The sequence below is a fragment of the Homo sapiens genome, chromosome 10 (genome assembly GCF_000001405.40).
Source record: "Homo sapiens chromosome 10, GRCh38.p14 Primary Assembly".
NCBI lineage: Eukaryota > Metazoa > Chordata > Mammalia > Primates > Hominidae > Homo > Homo sapiens.
The window spans coordinates 118,033,822-118,050,915 of record NC_000010.11 but is presented as its reverse complement, the minus strand read 5'-3'; the positions used below and the strand labels follow the sequence as shown (position 1 = coordinate 118,050,915).

The window sequence follows — 17,094 nt, the reverse complement described above, 5'->3', positions numbered from 1 at the left end:
TGGCTTGCCAGGTCTATAACTCCTTAGTTTGTAGAACCAGGATTAGAATTCAAGTCTAATACTCAGGCCCATGGGTGTTCCATACTCTCATTCACAAACTCCCAATAATTTCATCATCAATTACCAAAACAAATCCCTGCATATGTGCATAGGAGATATATAGATGTTTATGCAGCATTGTTTATGATAATTGAAAAAGTGGAAATAACTTAAATGTCCTTTGGAAGGAGAAAAGATCAAATGGGGCTTATTCATCTCACCCAATGCCATATACCAGTTAAAGTTAATCAATTCGTGTTCTATGCATTAATATGCATTTTGTTGTAGGAATAAAAATTATACAATGGAATACTATGATACTATGAAAAGGAAATTGAAAGATGTTCCCATACAAAACCTTCTTATATGCAAATGTGTATTTTGCTCCGTAAATTCTTACCAATCTCAGCATATTTTCACAGTTCAAAAAAGCTACAAATAATACAGATAGAAGTTATAAACTTATTACTACAATTAAAAAGTTCAAGGCTGCTCAAAACCACTTGCACATACATGCAATTTCTTCCAAATCTTGAGCTGTTGGTGTCAATTGCCTCATGCAGAGCCTATTAATAAAACTTATATTCACTTGCTTTCTGTGATCATTAATTACCTTCATTTGGGAGACAGAGCTGTCAGGAAATCTTAAAAAATAATTTTTTTCTCCTGAATTAGAGAATTCTTTATTAATATGTTACATAAAAAGGAAATCTGCTTTAGTATATTGACCAAATTCAGTTAGATAATTATAATGCAATTTGCTTCTTTGCGTTGTGGATATACTATGTAGAATCTTTAAATGTTAGAGGATCCTTTGGTGGCTGCTATAAAAGTCTCATTTTACAAGACAGCCCAAAGAAGAAAAATGACTTCCCTAAAGAGATGTAGCTAGTAATAGGCAGCCCTGGGATTAAGACCCAGGCTGCTGACTAGAGCTCTTTACACTACATACCATGTTACTTCTTGGGCATCACAAAATGTATCCACACACTGCCCAATCCCAGAAGAGAAATTGATCAGTCCAGCGATGAAAACAAAACAAAACAATCCCCAAAAATCCCCAAATGCCAGTTCATTGCCATAATAATTTCAAGTCAATTTGCCAAATACTCTTTCACTTTTCAACCGATTACAAGGAGATTGATCTATCTATCTATCTATCTATCTATCTATCTATCTATCTATCTATCATCTATCTATGTATCTCCAATATAACTCTGGGGCTTTGTCATATGTACATATATATGAATTTTACATACCTTTCAGTTGTGTATATATTTGAGGTGTGGTGTGTGTCTGAAGTCTAAAGACTATAATGATACCTTGGGGAAGTTTCTTGTTGTCCTTATGTTTCTGAATCTCCATCTGGAAAATAATTAATATCCATTACATAATGTACATGGGAGCATTAACACGCTTGACCCAGTGGGCTATTTAAACATGAGAGCATTATAATTGTTCTGCAACAGATTTGCAAGATGTGATTTTAGAGATGCCTTTGTCCAAAGGGAAAATCTCCCCCAATGTCTGGAATAGGTCTCCTTATGGGACTTATTCTTTATGGGACTGAAAGGGGCAACATGTAGTAAATATTTTCATCTGTGAAATCCTCTACTCATGGGGAATAAATATTGACTATTTTAACTTTCTGGTCAAAGCATTCTTATTCATTGCTGTAGGCATTGTTAACAGTTTAAAATTAGAATGTTCAGCATTTTCCTTCTAAAATATATTATTTTCCCAAGACTTTGATTTTGGAATTGTACCATACATTTCCGGATGTATCATTAGTCATAGGATAATTTTTTAAAAAGTGACTCTCTTCAATTCTGGTATGTTGTCCTTACACACGCAATCCTTTCCTTTTTAAATTGTTGTCCATGTATATCTTAGAATTAGTCAAAAGAATTTTTAAAACTGTAAAACAATAAACATTTTGGGAGAAGCACTTTGATCCCAGATCTTATGTAATTGTCATTATTTTTCACTATAAGCCAACCATATCTTTGACTCCACTGTCATATTTTTATTCTCTTAATATAATCAAAAAAGGAAAACATTCTATAGGAAGTCATTTCCTTATTATAATGCAATCCCAGATTCTATTTAGCTCATTTGGTTTGTTTGTTTATTTGCTTTCCCCGGGGGCAAAAATATGTTATTTTCTTATTCTGGCTTAAAAAATTTTAAGTCATAATTTCTGATTTCACCAGTAAAACTAAACAATTTTGGCTCTAGCCAGCTGTTGGGAAAACTCAAAAGAAATTTAGGTGCTACAGAAAGAGAGGTTAGTAATTCCAATTGTTCAGCTCTTGCCTTTAGAGTATTCTCTGAGTTGTGTTGGAGTATGTTATTGAGTTGCTGTGAACTACTGCTGCCAACTTCTACCCTAGAGATGGCTATATTTCAGAGATGAGTGAAATTATATTTGTAAACAAGTTTATAATCATTAATAAAGCTTACCAATTTAAGCTCTTCAGAAATACACATCCACTATTATAATTTTCTATTGTTTAATTACAACCTTTAATAGAGACATGAAGACTTTTAAAATGTATAAGAACTCTAAACTTAATTAAATTTGATTTCATGATGTTTATTTGGTTTTTGTAAGTTTCAGGTGTCAAATTATTTCTCCTTAGAGATCCTGGTGAAATTCCACCATTGACTGTTCCAACGTACTGTTTAAAAATCCCTAAGAATATTTTTCTTTAAAGTTGACAACTGTGCACTCTGGGATCCAGATGCTATATTCGCAGTACGATGATTTTGTTCTGTTTTCCACACATGGCCTTTTCATACACTGTCTCCCAGGGATGAAAAATTCTGCCTTGAATGAGAAGTTTTAAACCTTGCTTGAAAATAATAAACACGATACTTTACATGTTTATGGCCATTTAAGTTAAAAAAACGTGCATTTACATGTATCATATTGTTTTACTCTCAAAATTAGTCTTGTAAAGGGAAAAAAGGCATTAAGTAATTCAGTAAATTGTCTGCTGCATGCTAGCCACTATGAAGGGACTGCATGATAGACAAGGCAGTCCCAAAACTTAGAATTTCCTTGGGAAGGTAAGACACGAACAGAATTAACAGCAATGGGGTGGTACATAAGCGTCTCTTCCAATTGAGAAATAGAGGGGCAAAAGGAGATTTATGTGCCGCATTGTGCTAGGAAAGGCACATGTATTATCCCCTGAAACTCGAAACCCGTGTTTGGGGCATGGTCTCCACATGATTTGCACAGTCCACCACAGTGTGAGTCCCCACGGGGGTCCTTTTGACGTCGAGCCCATAGAGTCGTGATGGAGTCTTAGACATGAGGTAGAACTGGCTTTTTTACTCGTGAAAACACTGAGGCTCATGGAGGTGAAATGACTCGGCCAAGGTCACACACACTGATAGCGGCAGAGGCGCGGCCGGAACCAGGTCTTCTGATGCCAGCCCAGTGCCTCCCTACATCTCTACTCCCTGTGGAAACTATTTGCTTCCCTATCGCCCTTCGTCTGGGTGGGGGATGTCATTTTCAGTCAATTTACGGACTTTTCAAAAAGAGAAGGGTGGATAGGAGATTGGAGAAAAGTTTCCTTTCGGTCAGTGAAGAGGCCTGATTCGTTCCAACACCATTTATGGACCTGCTCCTGCCAGGCACTGGGCATCCAGGACACAGCGAACACAGATCCCCTGCCCTCAAAGACGCCCTAGTTAGGGGCGTCTCCGGGTCTTTGATGACCTCCTCTCACGAGCGGTCCCCAGCCCTCCCCAGGGCTCACCTGCCGGCCTCTGCAGGTACCCACGTCCCTAGGACCCGCCACTGGGCCAGGCCCAAGCAGCATCAAGCCCCGGGTCCCCGCCATTGCGCCCGCGTCGCGCGCCTCCAGTCGCCACGGCAACCAGGGAGGTGCTGACCCCTGACCTCGAGGCCCCGCCCCTTCACGTTCCCGAGACCAACATGGAGAAGGCCAACCCGGAAGTGCCGCCGCAGCCGCCCGCCCGGTGTTAGGAGCCGCCGGCCGGGCCAGGCCGAACCAAGCGCCCGCAGCCCTGCAGCCCGCTGCCCGCCCCACGTCCCGCCGGCGCCGGGGCGGCCGCGTTCCCCGCCCTCCCCCACTCCACCCCTGGCTACCCGCTCCCGCCCGAGAGGAGGAGCTGAGGCGAGGGGGAGGAGGAGGAGGGAGAGGTTTGCGAGAGGGAGCGAGGCCGCGTTAGCCGCCGGCGGTTCGTATTACCGGGGTCGGGAGGAGGAGCCGGGCCGAGCCTGCGGACGAACGCCGGGCGGGCGGGAGGCGCGGAGGCAGCGGAGGCTGCTCGGCCGCAAGGAGGCAGGCGGGAGGCCAGGGGTGCAGAATTGGGGCGGGGGCTCCCTTCACCCCCGCAGCCCTCCGCCCGGGTCCGTGTGGCCAGGCCTCACGTGCCCCGCAGGCCTGGGGAAGGTGGAGACAGGGGCGGGGGTCCGCGCAGAGGCCTGCACGGCGCGGCCAGGTGATGGTGGGCCTCTGTGTTTCTCCAGACGAAAGGGGACCCCCGGAGCGGCCGTGCCCCTGGGCTGCCCCCGCGAGGCGTTTTGACATCAGCCATAGGGAAGTCGGGGAGCCCTGAGCCTGCCTGTTTCCGTTAAGTGTCCTTAGGATGCAGTGATTAAGGAATTAGGCTCTCCCTCCGGGAGGGGCACTGCCTGTGCTAGGGAACTCGGGGGCAGAGAAACAGGACAGGATGATGCTGTCCGAGCAAGCCCAAAAGTGGTTTCCAACCCACGTGCAGGTCACAGTGCTCCAAGCCAAAGATCTGAAGCCAAAAGGCAAAAGTGGTACCAATGACACATACACTATAATTCAGCTGGGCAAGGAAAAGTACTCCACCTCTGTAGCTGAGAAAACCCTTGAGCCAGTTTGGAAGGAGGAGGCCTCTTTCGAGCTACCTGGATTGCTAATTCAGGGAAGTCCAGAGAAATACATTCTTTTCCTTATAGTTATGCACAGGTCCCTGGTGGGTCTGGATAAATTTTTAGGGCAGGTGGCAATCAATCTCAATGACATCTTTGAGGACAAACAAAGAAGGAAAACAGAGTAAGTTATGTAATTTATTTTGAATTTGGGGGAGTTTATATCTTATTTATGGTTTTTCTGTTCTTGGAAATTATCCGTATACTTCGGGCGTTGGTTTTTGGATTGAAATATGATCCAGTTTTAAGCACCATATTTGCATGAATCTGAAGTAAAAGTAGCACTCGTGATGAAATATTTTTTAAATGGAATCATTAATGATCCCTTATTCTTTCTGTTAAACATCTGTCAAATAATTGAATATTTTGTGGTGGATTTTAAGTAAGTTAACATTGTTTCAGTATGAGGACTGGATCACAGTATTGACCAACTAGAACTTCATATAAATTGTTATGGATTTTAAACCTTACAATTATCAATGAAATGGAAGATGAGAAATTAAATCTGGCAATGTAATGTTGATGTGTCGCACTTTGTAGCTGTCAAAAGATAAATCACCAGATTTAGAACTCAGTATTTCGTTTCAGCGTTATAAACACAGCTTTTATTTTAGCTCAGCCATTTTTCAGGGTCAGTGTGCCTTGATGGGAGTCTATACCTGTTAGAAAAAAAAAAAGTTTTAAAAGTATGTACAGACATCCTCAACTTCGAATGCACTTACATTTTCCTTTGAATTTGCAATTACATCAGAGTTATTGTATTCAGAATTGATTTTCCAAAGCTATTGTGTTTAGACCATATTAAATGCTGTAGGATGGAGAGAATGATAAATTTTTGTGATGAAATGATTTGATAACATCTTCAGTGGTCTTTTCAGTATGACTTTTGAGCTTGAGTTAGATACATTTTAATTTAAAAAATCATAATATAAATTAACACTAGGATATTGTGTCTTAAATTGAAAAAAAATATGTTTTTAGAGTTAAGTATACTCACCCCTTCCATAAACTTAAAAGGACATTATATTAATGAAATTAGTGAGAGAAAAATACTGGTTGAACTTCTAAGAGGACTTTCCATTTCCAAAATAGTGTTGGTGTTTTGTTCAGTTATAATTGAATTTATTTACTCTTTAAAAAACTTTCTTACAATGATATTTTTCTTGAAGTTTATGTTAATTCTTTACATTTTAAAACGACTCTCTCTTGTTCTTTTCTGTACATTTCTACTCTCAGGCTTCTCTTGATTGGAGTTTTTTTGTTTCATTTTAAATCAGGTCTTAACCTAAGATTTAATATATGTGGAGTAAAAGTGTAGAGAGATCAGAAATACTAGGAATGCAGGAGGAAAAATGGTACCATTTAATTGAGATGAAAATATTTTAGAAGGAGAGAAAAAGTTAAATGTAAAGTTTAATATATATCAGTGATTTGAATAATAAAATTATTTGATACCTAAAGAGTGGCATTCAGTTTCCTCCGAGGGATTCTTTATCAAATTGAAAGTGAAAAATGGATAATTACCAAATAATCTGTTTCAAATTGCCAATTTTGGGTGACACTTAGTAAATATTTAACGTGTTTTGAATGTAAACTATTAAGTATATTGCACCTTCAAATTCCTCACTTCATTTATAGTACTTTAATATTCATGGATCATGTATTTCAGGCCTTCTCTGAAACATAAATTTTCCTAGTGAAAGTAGGACCAAATGTGAACCCAAGGAGTCTGAGGATGAAATAACCTTTTACAATTTCTTCTTGTTTTACTCCTAGTCCTGGGCAACATCACAGTTACAATACATTTGGTGTGAGCAATACTCTAATATTATGGTCTCTCCTTATAGAAATTCTCTACTGGCTATTATATAAAATTGATTAGAACTTTAGGGGTAAAATGCTTTTAAATGTTATCAACAGGGTTTGTGATGTTATTGCATTCAAAGTGATTTTCATATATTGCTAAACCCTTAACATTTTATTTGTGGATAAATGGGGACCATGTATTTGATGAGATATCTTTATTGGTAATATTTCTAGTTTTTTAATATATTTAATAGCTTCCTTTTCTAGCACAGCTGTACCTGTGGCCCAGTAAGAGACAGACTTGAGCCGCCGGTATATTTCAAGGAAGATATTTAATATTCTGCACATTGCTAAACTTTTTCAGCATATTCCCAAGTGCTTTTTAGAAAACTGTTTCGAGTGATGAGGACTACCAGCTAACTTAGATGTCCTATGAAACTGCTGGGTGTGACACTTTTTACATTTTGACACTGAAGACATATATTTACAGCTTGTCTTCCAGTTGTGTCATGATAGATAAAGAAGTATGACAACTAAAATTATTACTTTACTTATTTTCTTACCTTGAAAATATATGTCTTTTTTCTCTCTTAAGGAATGGGGAAAAAGGGTCTGAGCCAGAACCCTTTGAGTGGGCCTGGGAAGAGAACTTCTGTATCTCCTCCTTTAGAGGATGTCTGGGTTGGTTCTGGCATGAGATTTAAAGAAATAATACAATGTTTAGTAATAGAATGTTAAAATCATTGATGCTGTTGTGTAATATCCATTGATTTTTTACAATAGAAGTAGGTGATGTTGACTTTTTTTTTTAATGCTCATGAAAAGTAATAACAACCAGAGTCTGTAGAGTTAGATGTGACTCAGACATATGCAGATTTTAGGACGTGTGTGTGTCTCAGCGGTGCACCTGTGTCCTGGCCTCTGGCACCCTTACTGCCAATTTTGTCCCATTTCTGACCACACAGCACCAATTGCTTGGGAATAGTTCCCATATGTGTGCTGGTTTTTGAACATGGACCTGTGCCCACTAAAAATTGAACAGAGGCCATGTACAGTTTAAATCCAGTACTCCAGAGGTGAAAAAAAGTCAGCTAATCCAGTAAGCTCCAAATGCTGTGTCTTCGTTTTATCTTTCTGAAGACTGGAAAAACAAATGCTATCTCTGAAATGATTCTTGAAGATCTCATTAAGACTTCCCTATTATGTCATTTTCAAAACAAAGCAACTAAAGTTATTTGTCATTGCTACATTTTCAATGAGTATATTTGTAAAAGTTCTTTGCAGTTTTTTTTGGGGGGTGGGGAATGGACATTATAGTGTATTTACAGTTTGTAGTCAAATACTGATTTGCTTTATTCAGGTTTACATAGGTCTTTACAGTTTCCTACTAAAAAAACAAGACAATGTAAACACATACACACACACACACAGTTGTAGCTTACTTGTAAGAATATAGTTCTAGAAATAAAAATTGAATAAACATTTAATGCAAGGCAGACTGCCTTCCAGGAGCTTATACTCTAGCAGTAGAAAATTTGCATTGTCTTTCTCTTCAGCTCTCATGTCTCCTTATTAAATACAGTGTCCTGCAGTATGTGCCAGCCATGTGGTTAACCTTATTAACATATGTGGTTCATCAAATAAGAAAGAGCTTCTATTTTCCTGCAGATGTTATTCATCAACTTTAGATTTTTTTCTTTATTGACTTTAATCTGACATTGGGAAGTTACATATCATTCCTTGTGCCTCAATTTCCTCATCTATGAAATAAAGATGTTAAAGTAGATGATTTATTGGTCTTATCTCTAAAAGTCTGTGAATTTCCACTACCCCCACCCCCTTCCATTTTGGGGGTAATTAATTTTTTTTTACTCATATTTGCTTTGATTTGTTACATACGTGCTCGTTTTTGTTTGCAAATTTTTGGTACATTTTTTGCAAAGTATATTCACCTACATTCTATAAAGCCTGAGGTACTACAGAGTATTTCTGAGCTACTGTTCGTCAGATGTGTTTCTCTCCCTATTGAAAATAGCTCTGTTTTCCAAAACTTTGAGTTAACTGGGTATATAATCTGCTTCATTTCCAGGCTTTTTGAGTGCTCAATTGTATGTTATTTAAGGTTGTCTATTTCACAGAAATCGCTGTCATTTCTTATTTCTAGCCCCTGTTTCTTCAGATTTTACCATTTGCCTTATATAAGGGATTTTCTCAGTTTAAGGTCTCAGGCTAATAGTATTTTAAAATATTGATATTCTAAGAAATGGCTAGTTTTGATGCAACTATATCTGAATTGATTGAATAGCTCCAATTTAGTTAATCAAGAAAATATTTTTCTTCCATGTTACGTGCAAAGATGTAGCTGGTATTTATATCATGTGCCAGTATTTCAACTTGATATACAGTAAATGTAATCTTCTCTTGGCATATCCAGTTGGTAACAATGAGAGAAAGAACTAATGTAAAATTAGATCAGAGTTCCTTTGTAGCTAAGAAAATTTGTTACACTCGATTAGAGCTATATTTAAATAATAACCTGTGTGCAGGAATGGATATTATGCCTCATTGCTAAGTTATGTGAAAACATTGTAGAAACTCTTTCAGGCTTGATTTTGTAGTTTTTTTTGGCTGTTTTCCCATAGAATGACCACTTGTGACATGGCCAACTGGAGAATTTCTCATGGATAAAAATACTATAAAACCAAAATATTGCTTCTTGTATATCATTTAAATACAGATAGTGCCATACATTGAAGGGACTAAAACGTAAGATTTGGCTTCATTTTCAAAATAATTTTTATTTGGTATTGTCACAGTAGCAATAGTAAAATGAAGCAAATAGATTCAAACAAGAAGCATTTTAGGTTTTTTTTTTTCCTTTTGAAAACTTCACAAGATTTATTTTTTGTCACTTCTTGCATTTTACTTATTTTTTGCATATTTTATTCAGGAGTAGGCTTTGATTCATTTTATGTCAATCTAAATGACATCATATGCTGTTTTAATGATTAGCAAGCTATATGCAATGATCTCCAATGTTAACAAAATTCTTTTGCTACTTTTACGTAAGTAATATTTTGGGATGGGGCCAGGTATTTATTATTGTATTAAAATGTCATGAGATTCATTTTATAATGCTCAAAAATAATTTGTATTGGTGAATTCTTTCAAAATCTCTGCCTCAATGTCTTTTAATGTTAAAAAAAAATGTCCTTAGGCCGTGAGCAACACTTAATCCCATATGGAAAACTTCTAGCATTGATAAGAATTTTTGATGATGAGTGATTTTCAAATTACAAAAGAAAAGATTATCTGAAAACATTTTCAAACTTGCCAAAGACCTATTCATTCCTTCAGTATATGTTACATCACAGAGACAATGATCAGTTTTTTAAACTAAATAATAAGTAAAGCCCGAAATACTGTGGCTGACAGATTCTTATTCAGAGCTTAGGTTGCCTTGATGTATAGTTACTTTACCTAAAAGGCTATTTGTATGTAACAGAACTCAGTATCCTCTCTCTATTATGTGTTACAGCCAATTTTTTTTTCTTCTCTTTAAGGTGGTTTAGATTAGAATCCAAACAAGGAAAACGAATCAAAAACAGGGGTGAGATAAAGGTCAATATTCAGTTTATGAGGAACAATATGACCGCAAGTATGTTTGACTTATCAATGAAGGACAAAACCAGATCTCCTTTTGCAAAGTTAAAAGATAAGATGAAGGGTAGAAAAAATGATGGAACATTTTCTGATACGTCTTCTGCAATCATTCCAAGTACTCACATGCCCGATGCCAATAGTGAATTTTCAAGTGGTGAAATACAGATGAAATCCAAACCAAAAAAGCCTTTTCTCTTGGGTCCTCAGCGACTCTCGTCAGCGCATTCAATGTCTGATTTATCTGGGTCCCATATGTCTTCTGAGAAACTGAAGGCTGGCACCATAGGTCAAACACATCTTCTCGGACACCAGTTAGATTCCTTTGGAACAGTTCCAGAAAGTGGTAAGTGTCACATTCTTGTGTACTCATTGGTCTGAACTACCCTTTTAGTTTTTAAAGTTTAATTTCTAAATTTAGTAAATCAAAATAGCAGTTGCTTTGTAGTATTTTCCAAATTTTGTCATTCATCAAATATTGAGTACCTACTATACCTCAAATTGGTAAGTTCCTTGAAGGCAGAGCTTGTCTGCATTTGTATTTATATTATTAGATGATAATAAAATGAGTGCCAGTTTCCTTTTATGGCTTGGCTGCCTGTTTTACTGCTGTTTCTGCTATCTCAAAACCCTGAGCATAAATGAATGTTCCATTTCATCATAAAGTCCTTAGAAGAAAACTTTTATGTTCAGAAGTAAGAAAGTAAATTTAATGCTAATGAAAAAGTCTCTGAGAATTTTTAACATTATCATGCCAACCAGAACCTCTAGTTTTGACATCATAGTTTATATGATTGTGAGCTGAATACATTACTAATGGTCTAGCAATATGCTAGTTGTTATCAGCCTCGATGCTTCAGACTGCTACACCTTAGCATTTTAAGATTGTTTCCTTGATTTTTTGAAGGTTAATACATTTAAGTGGCTAATTGCTCTCATTCTAAAAGCAGCAGAATGCACACAGACTGTGTCAAATAGTGTGATGTAATGTGTCACTGATTATGTACTAACTACAAAATTGTTTGTAGGAAGTCTCAAATCTCCACACAGAAGAACATTAAGCTTTGATACTTCTAAAATGAACCAACCTGACAGCATTGTGGATGAAGGTGAATTGTGTTTCGGAAGACAAAATGACCCATTTACAAATGTGACTGCTTCATTACCCCAAAAATTTGCAACACTGCCAAGGAAGAAAAATCCATTTGAAGAAAGCAGCGAAACATGGGACAGCAGCATGAATTTATTTTCAAAACCAATTGAAATAAGAAAAGAAAATAAAAGAGAGAAAAGGGAGAAAGTTAGCCTGTTTGAAAGAGTGACTGGAAAAAAAGATAGCAGAAGATCTGATAAACTTAACAATGGGGGATCTGATAGCCCTTGTGACTTGAAATCACCTAATGCATTTAGTGAAAATCGCCAGGACTATTTTGATTATGAGTCAACCAATCCATTTACAGCAAAATTCAGGGCTTCAAATATAATGCCATCTTCAAGGTAAGCTTAATATGGGGGAAGTTCTACTATTTGGGAAAATCTTGTACTTGAAGGTATCAAATATTTCTTTTAAATGCTAGAATATTTTCAAGTCATTTTATTTTATTTGAAAAACATTTTTATTTGTATAATTAAATTATAGAGCCAGGCAATGTTGCATATATTTTTGGAACTGAACTTTTTTATCTTAAGAAGATAAAAGACTCTTATTCTCTATCCTGGTCTACTTCCACTTATGTGAGCCAGAAATTCACCAAAACTTAGAAAACAACATGGCTTGTGATGAGACATGGCGAGAGTGAATTGCCAGTGGGTGTTAGTTCAAGCCAGAAATTTAGGTGATAATGTTTCTAGGGATTCGTTCATGGGCTACCTGGAAAGGACCAACAGCAGCCCATGTGCTATTCTTTAAAAAACGCCAGCTTCAGTATTAATGGCTTTCCTAATAGATGTTAATTATCCTTATTAAATGGCTATTTAGAAGTGGTTTTTATTTGAGAATGCTTGTTATTGGAATTCAGTAACCCTCATGGGTTCTGTAGGTATACCCAAGGGATCTATATGATGATTTATAGTCAGAAATAATCACTCATGAGAAAGATTGGATTTTCCAACTTTGAGTTTTCAGTTATATATATAATGGTGCTTTTCTTATTCCTTAGTATATCTAAATTATATCTATATATCTAAATTTAAATCTATATCTATATAAATTTATATCTACATATATAGATATAAGTGTAGATATGCTAAGGAATAAATTTAAATATGGTTATGGATTTTACAGAAGTAAACGATGAAATAGCTGATTAAGGAAACCTCAAGCAAAGAAAAGATAAATTTATTCCCATCTTAAGTATAGTTGGCCCCCCATATTTGCAGGTTCTGCATTTTTGGATTCAATCAACCATGGAGTGAAAATATTTAAAAAAATAAATAAGAAATAACAATATAGTAATGAAAAAATAATGCAGATTTAAAAAACAGTACAGTGTAACAACTGTTTACATTGGTTTACATTGTATTAGGTATTATAAGTAATCTAGAGATAATTTAAAATATATGGGAGGTTGCGTATATGTGCAAATACTGTACCATTTTGTATAGGGGACTTGAATATCCCTGGATTTTGGTATCCTTGGAGTCCTGGAACCAATCTCTCTCAGATACTGAGAGATGACTGTAATTATCTTGGAAGAGCATGCTAGAGTGTTTACCACGTAATAGAAGATTTTCTTCAAGACAATATTATAGAGTGTACAGACCTGAATGGGAATACTGGCTTAGAAGTGCTATGACCTCCATAAACCTCAGTATCTCCATCTTTGAAACAAGGAAAATAATCCCACTTGATAGGATTCGGTGAGGATAAATGAAAGTACATAATACAAAGCCAGGCCCCAAATAGGGAATCCATAAATGGTGACTACAATTATGTTTGATGTATCGTCATGTTATATTTTACTAAAAAACAGTGCTTTGTTTTGTCCCACTAGAAACAGCAAATAGAGTATTAACAATCAATCACTTTTAGGCTGTGCCCTCTCACCTCTCTTATGTATCTTCCATGATATTTTAAAAATTTGCATTTAAATTTTCAAAGTGAAGTGTACTTTTTTTGTTTTCTTTTACCTATAAATGGATATTTGCCATGGTTTAAAAGAGTATTCTGTTCTGTTTATAAACCATACTCCAGAAGAATAACATTTTTATCATATGGTATCAATATTTTATTGAAGAGTTTATAGTTTTGATATGCCATTCAAAAATATTTTGGTATTTTACATACTGTACTTCACATATTACATTAAATCTTATATGGGTAAATAGAAATATATTTGCTTCTTTCCCTCTTTACTAAACTTTTTTTTACAGAAGGTTGTTGGAAACAACTGTCTGAGGTAACTTGGAGATGGGGCAATTTAGCTAATTTTAGAGTCAGAAGAAAAGCAAGAAAATGGAAAATGATAGGAAAATAATGTTTTTACATTATGGGTGCATATGGAAAAAAAAGCTTATTGAGTATTTGCAAATCTTTAATTGCCCTGTATTTGAGTTGTTTATGTGGGCTGTTACGGGTTTTAAAAGTGCCTGTGGCATTTTGACACATCCAGGCTTTGTTTTCAGTTACTTTATTATTATTGGCTGTTTCTAGCAAAATTAGAGCTGTTTTATGATGTATGAAATGATTGCAAGTATGTAAAAAAAAATAGTTGTTTTTCATTTTATGACTTTCTCTTCTTCATATTTATGAGATGCCAGATATGAGGACAGAACATTTGTGGATTCCTAGGAAGTTATTCTTTTTGCATCACAAACCATCCGTGTGGTAAATGTAAAACATTTGCAGTAAAGGGGTAGTTCTAGTTAATCTTATAAAAAAGAAGAATTGAATATAAATAGACCCAAGAAGAGTGTGCAGTTCACACTTTTGGCAAGCAGCTTTATCTTGAGTGGAATTTGGGAGGATATTGCCAAGGTAGTGTTGTCTTTACGTAACAGTATAGTTCTATTTTTCCTCCCAGTATCAACCCTCAGCTATCTGGGACATTTTAAATTTCTCACATTAACATCCTAACCGAATGCACTTTTGGAGCTATGGGCTCACATTATTAAGACACGTGCTGTGAATTTTTTTCAGGAGTGCTAAATAGACCTATTTACAGTTTCCTGGACTCTTGTGGCCAGTGTTTGTGAGAATGCTGAACAAGGTTAAGGGTAAAATACATAGCCATGGAACTGCATTTTCTTCTTGGTGAGTGAACTGGCTCACTTGTGATTGCTGGTACCTAGGAACCATATTGTTACCCTCTGGTTGAATAATGTATATTATTAAAACTGGAGAATTTTCTTTATGCCCAAAATTTTAAAATGTACTAAGGCACACTTTTTTTAGAAGTTAGACTTTTTATTCCTTAGTGTTAAGTAAAGTCCGCCTGAAGAAAGCACTTTGGAAACCACAAAAAATACCACATTTTGATCCTGTCCTTGGAATAGGTCCCATAGTTTTACATAAAACTGATAGAGGAAGTTAGGCATTATCTTGGGTTACTTCAGCAAAGAGCAGGGCTCTTTGAAACACTTTTCCCCGAAGTTACTAATTTGCAGTCTCTTACATGCCCCTATTTCTTTGAAGCATTTCCTGTTCTTGTAGGGAGGGGTAGTTGTTCCCTGTGCTGCAGCATTTTCTTACGTAAGTCTTGTCTTCTGTGGGCATGGCATTGTTCACTAATAGCTTAGTCTCACTTTTTTTGCCCACTACCATGAAGAGTTTGATAGCAGGGTCTGCATTTCATTCCTCTTTTTGCCCTTAGTCTCCAGCGTGATGCTTGGTAGGTAGCAGGTATTAGATATTTTGAATAAACGCACACAGTATAGCAGACCAGTTTCTTAATGCACACAGTGTAGCAAACCAGTTTCCTAATGCACACAGTATAGCAGTTTCCTGAAATGCTACTCTCATTCCGTTAGCCTCCTACTTCCAGCCCTGCTTGCGTGGGCTGTGAAGATCTTTCTAATAGACTGAAAACAGATCCATAAAGCCGTATGTATGCATTTTTATGTACAACTAAACATTGTTAAAAATCTAAGTTTTAAAGGATTACTAAAATTTAATATTCAATCTAAATAGCACATTTCTGGAGACTATTAAGAACTGTGTATTAGGGTAGGTTGTCAGCTGTAATAACCACGGTATCAGTGGCTTATCACAGCAAAAGTTTATTGCTCACTCTTGTCACAAAGGAGTTCACTGGAATGGTGATAGGAAAAGTGAGTGCTTTGCTCTATGCATTCATCCAGCTCTGCACAGTCTCTCAGGAAGCAGGCTTCTTCCTTCTTGTGATGCCACCATTTAACACATGGCCTCCAAGATCAGTGCAGCGCAGGAGGAGAGAGAGGATCAAAGGAGGGTCATTTCTGTGTGCCAGGCCTAGTGCAGTATGCATTACTTCCACATATGTCCCATTGGCCAGAGCTCACCCGTGCCCCAGCCTCACTGCAACCTGTGAAGAACTGTGACTTAGCTGTATACGCAGAAGGAAGCTGAATTGGGTTTAGTGAGCTTACAATATTGTGTGTGCCATTGATGCCTAATCAGCTTGCTACTAAGAAGTCGGGATGCTGTCCAATGCTGGCATGCTGCAAAACTCCTATGACACATATACAGTAAGTAGTGTTGGAGTTCTTGTAATCTTCAGGAGAATGTTTTCTCAGTTTATTACTGGTACTAAGTTGTTTGTATTTTATAATTGCCACTAGTCTTGTTTTTTAATTGTAAGTCACAGGTTGTTTAGCATCATCAGTATCAACTAATTTTTTTCATGCTTTATCAAATAAATTGTCAACTAATTTATCATTTGGTTTATCACACAATTTGCGAAGTAATCCTTCTTTTTATCAGCAGTATATCATTTGCCAAAAACAAATATGCCTGAATGTTTGTTATACCATTTTTAATTTGTTCACAACAAATTATCTTTTAATATATTATAAAATCACAAATAATAAATTGTAAATAATGTTACCACCAGGCTGTTTTTCACTTAAAAGTGGAAATGATGGGTGTGTGTCTTCACCAAGCCAAATTTGTTCATTTCATTTCTTTTTTTTTTTTAACTAGGACATAGCAAGTTCTGGCTTATTTAAGAGTTCATGGAAGAGATGTATACCACTTTCAGGTCTGGCCCATGGAATGTCCTCTTAACACTCTTAACACAATCCTCCGTTTTGCCTCTTCCTCCATATCCTGGACCAGGGATTGGCAAACTAAGCTTGGAGGCCAAATCTGGCTTGCTGCCAGTTTTTGTAAAGTTTTGTTCGAACACAGCCGCATTATCGTCATAATTGTGTACGGTGGTAGCGTTGAGTAGTTGTGACAGAGACCATATGGCCCACAAAGCTAAAACTATTTATTGTTTGGGCTTTACAGAAATACTTTGCTGACCCCTGCAGTAGCTGAATGGAGAGGATCTTTGAGATGGGCAGAGCTGTAAGTAGGAGCAGCCTGGGTCTCTGCATGCAAGTGGAAGGCCCACCTGACGAGGAATAGCCAAGTGGCCCTTGTCCAAATGATAAATTCACAGGATATAAGTTACTGAGATTTATATATATATTTATTAGAGCACTTAGCATTATTTATCCTACTGAGG

General features: G+C 36.8%; 1 protein-coding gene and 1 long non-coding RNA gene across 5 annotated transcripts in view, besides 2 other annotated features; one reads left to right on the top strand and one right to left on the bottom strand.

Annotated features, from left to right (window-relative positions):
• The window catches only part of CASC2 (cancer susceptibility 2), a 163,333-nt gene extending 159,238 nt beyond the window's left edge, over positions 1 to 4,095 (bottom strand). For all 3 annotated transcript variants that reach the window (NR_026939.1, NR_026940.1, NR_026941.1), the window contains exons 1-2: positions 3,813 to 4,095; positions 1,299 to 1,404 (exon numbers count right to left, since the gene is read on the bottom strand). This is a non-coding gene — a long non-coding RNA (cancer susceptibility 2). The remainder of the gene's footprint in view (positions 1 to 1,298; positions 1,405 to 3,812) is intronic.
• The window catches only part of RAB11FIP2 (RAB11 family interacting protein 2), a 42,026-nt gene continuing 28,906 nt past the window's right edge, over positions 3,975 to 17,094 (top strand). Inside the window, exons 1-4 of one of the 2 annotated variants that reach the window (NM_001330167.2) lie at positions 3,975 to 5,105; positions 10,351 to 10,793; positions 11,476 to 11,944; positions 16,875 to 16,934. In NM_001330167.2, the coding sequence (NP_001317096.1) occupies positions 4,753 to 5,105; positions 10,351 to 10,793; positions 11,476 to 11,944; positions 16,875 to 16,934 (1,325 nt within the window). In that variant the 5' untranslated portion in view covers positions 3,975 to 4,752. The remainder of the gene's footprint in view (positions 5,106 to 10,350; positions 10,794 to 11,475; positions 11,945 to 16,874; positions 16,935 to 17,094) is intronic. The other variant, NM_014904.3, reaches the window with a different exon arrangement.
• Positions 4,048 to 4,537: a silencer, noted in NCBI's record as "silent region_2863". NCBI's record gives its function as "represses an Ori minimal core promoter by ATAC-STARR-seq in GM12878 lymphoblastoid cells {active_cell/tissue: GM12878}" and the evidence as "EXISTENCE:reporter gene assay evidence [ECO:0000049][PMID:35858748]".
• Positions 15,096 to 15,289: a silencer, noted in NCBI's record as "fragment chr10:119795138-119795331 (GRCh37/hg19 assembly coordinates)". NCBI's record gives its function as "represses an EF-1alpha promoter that drives an FKBP-Casp9 reporter gene in an ReSE screen in K562 erythroleukemia cells {active_cell/tissue: K562}" and the evidence as "EXISTENCE:reporter gene assay evidence [ECO:0000049][PMID:32094911]".